This window comes from Homo sapiens, chromosome 4, assembly GCF_000001405.40.
Source record: "Homo sapiens chromosome 4, GRCh38.p14 Primary Assembly".
NCBI lineage: Eukaryota > Metazoa > Chordata > Mammalia > Primates > Hominidae > Homo > Homo sapiens.
In genome coordinates this window covers 39,479,507-39,482,115 of record NC_000004.12, presented here as the reverse complement: position 1 = coordinate 39,482,115, position 2,609 = coordinate 39,479,507, and the positions used below count along the sequence as shown (strand labels likewise).

The following is a 2,609-nucleotide window of genomic DNA, read 5'->3' as shown; positions in this document are numbered from 1 at the left end:
TTCCAAGATGAGGTGTTTTACCATTTTTAAAAATTATTTACTATTTTTTTCTTTTTAAGCTATGCTATTAACTGAAATTTACTATTATTTAGCTATATTAGAATTGTTCTCAATACTGTGCAACCAAAACAAATAAGTAGACTCTTGAGGCTGAAGACAGCAACTGTTATCCATAAATCCCAATTTTGCATATGTATCAAAATTGCTTCATTTTACTTATTCCCTATTTTTATTTACAGAGTAAATGTTACAAATCTGAAACTTTAACATACACTGCTAATAAAATGCCATTTTAATTATTTTACATTGAAGTTCCATGAGATTTTTATTATATTTATTATTTATTTTTAAAATTGAACTTCACCCTTTTGTAACAAAAAATTAAAAATTTTTGTTGACTCTGTTTGAACACAACAGACTAGGAACTCTTCCCTAGACAGTGTTAGAGAATTGGCAAGAAATGTCACCAGCAACTTTTAGAACTTTCCGGTGGTCCACACTCGGCCAAATCATCTTCAAAAAGGAGGCTCAAATCAGGCCCGGTCCTGACCCCCAGGCACAGACCCAGGGGACCGCCTCCGAGACATCATGTTTCTTGCCAATCCGGGTCAACTTCCTGATGGTCTATCGCATGTGGGAGCAAAGGGACTTAACAGTCACTCTTCCACAGTTTAATTGTTTTGTCATTTTCTAGCGCGGCAGAGGTGATGATGTTTTCTGTTGGGTGACAAGCTGTTGAGGTCACAACATCTGTGTGGCCTTCTAATTTCTGTACAATCTCTTTCGTCTGAAGTTTCCAGATGTAAAGAAGGTTATCCTCCGAGCCAGACACAATCCACTTCCCGCCAGTAACAGAGAAATTAGCAAATATGCAGTATTTCTCGTTCTTGTGGCCAGTGTATGTCTTCAGGCACTTCCCCTTGCTGTAGTCCCAGAGCTTGAGTGTTGCCCAGCGTGGCAGCCACGATGTATCCACCCTTCGGGGAGAGCTTCACGAAAGACACCAGGGGTTGTCATCATCAGTGAGCGTTTTCAGGCACTGGCCTGAGGCTGTGTCCCAGATGTGACAGAGACCATCATAGCTACTTGAAACTATCAAGAATCCATCACGATTAAAATGAATGGCCGAGACTGGATCGGAGTGAGCTAGCAGTCTTGTGGCACTTCCCTGTTTTCACAACCCATATCCTCACACTTTCATCAAAGGATCCTGAGACAGTAAGGCTGGACTGGGGATTGAAGTTACAGCAAAAGACATAATTACTGTGTCCCTTCAGGGTTTTCAGACACTTTCCCGAGCTCACGTCCCGTATCTTCAAGGTTTTGTCATCTGAGGCGGAAACAAAAAGGTTAGAATCTGACGACCAGGCTGTGACCAGACGGTTTTCTCAAATTTCCCATCATATGAGTCCCCCAAATTTTAATGAGTTTATCAGCAGATGAACTTGCCAGCCACTCTCCATTCGGGCTGAATTTCACGGAGGACACTGCTTTGGTGTGGCCAGCAAGGGTGAACTTTAGAGAGCATAGTTTGGCTTCACGGGCGTAGGCTTGCTCTGAGTGGTGGATGACGAAGGGGTCGGCTGTGCTCTCGTTGCCTCGGTCTCGGGCTTCCTCTCCTCCATCGCCATGGCTCTGACGCTGGCCGCACAGGGGACGTGGACGGAGGGTCCTGATGACAGAGGCAGTCTGCCGGGCTGCTGCGGAGGGCCGGGCGCTCGGGGCGTCGGCGCATCCTCCCTGGGCGGGAGCGCGGCCTATTCATTTATTTTTTTTGAGACAACAGTCTCACTGTGTTGCCCATGCTGGAGTGCAGTGGTGCATTTTCGGCTCACCGCAACCTCTGCTTCCTGGATTCAAGCGATTCTTGTGCCTCAGCCTCCTCAGTGCCACAGGCACGTGCCACCACACCCAGCTAATTTTTTATATTTTTAGTAGAGATGGGGTTTTGCCATGTTGGCCAGGCTGGTGTCAATTCCTGATATCAGGTGATCCGCCCGCAACGGCCTCCCAAAGTGTTGAGATTATAGGCGTGAGCCACCGCGCCGGCTGAGAATTTTATTTCACCAAATGAGTCTCCTGCTAACAAATGTTTACCTGCCATTGGCCTACACTGTGCAAAGGGCCTAACTATTAGATAATATCTAGAAATGTCACAAAATTAGCCTGAAAAGTAATCCATTTTTTTCCTGTAAAATAAGTTAAGGTAGCTTGAGATGTTTCTATTTTAAGTTGGTAGGGTTAGGCCCGGTGGTGGCTCACAAATCCCAACATTTTGGGAGGCCAAGGCGGTCAGATCGTTTGAGGCCTAGAGTTTGAGACCAGCCTGGCCAACACGGCAAAACCCCATCTCTACTAAAAATACAAAAATTAGCTGGGCGTGATGGTGTGCGCCTGTAATCCCAGCTACTTGGGAGGCTGACGCAGGAGGATCACTTGAACCCAGGAGGCAGAGGTTGCAGTGAGTTGAGATCGCGCCACTGCACTCTAGCCTGACAGAGTGAGACTGTCTCAAAACAAAAGAAAGTTGGTAGGGTTAAATTTGCATCCCAAAATTTACTAGCATCTATAAAGACATACATTACTTTTTTTTTTTTTTTTTTTTGAGG

General features: G+C 45.3%; 1 pseudogene across 1 annotated transcript; it reads right to left on the bottom strand.

Annotated features, from left to right (window-relative positions):
- Positions 1 to 210: 210 nt before the first annotated feature.
- On the bottom strand, positions 211 to 1,861 carry WDR5CP (WD repeat domain 5C, pseudogene; annotated as a pseudogene). Its single transcript, NR_026854.1, has one exon. The product of NR_026854.1 is annotated as a WD repeat domain 5C, pseudogene (transcript).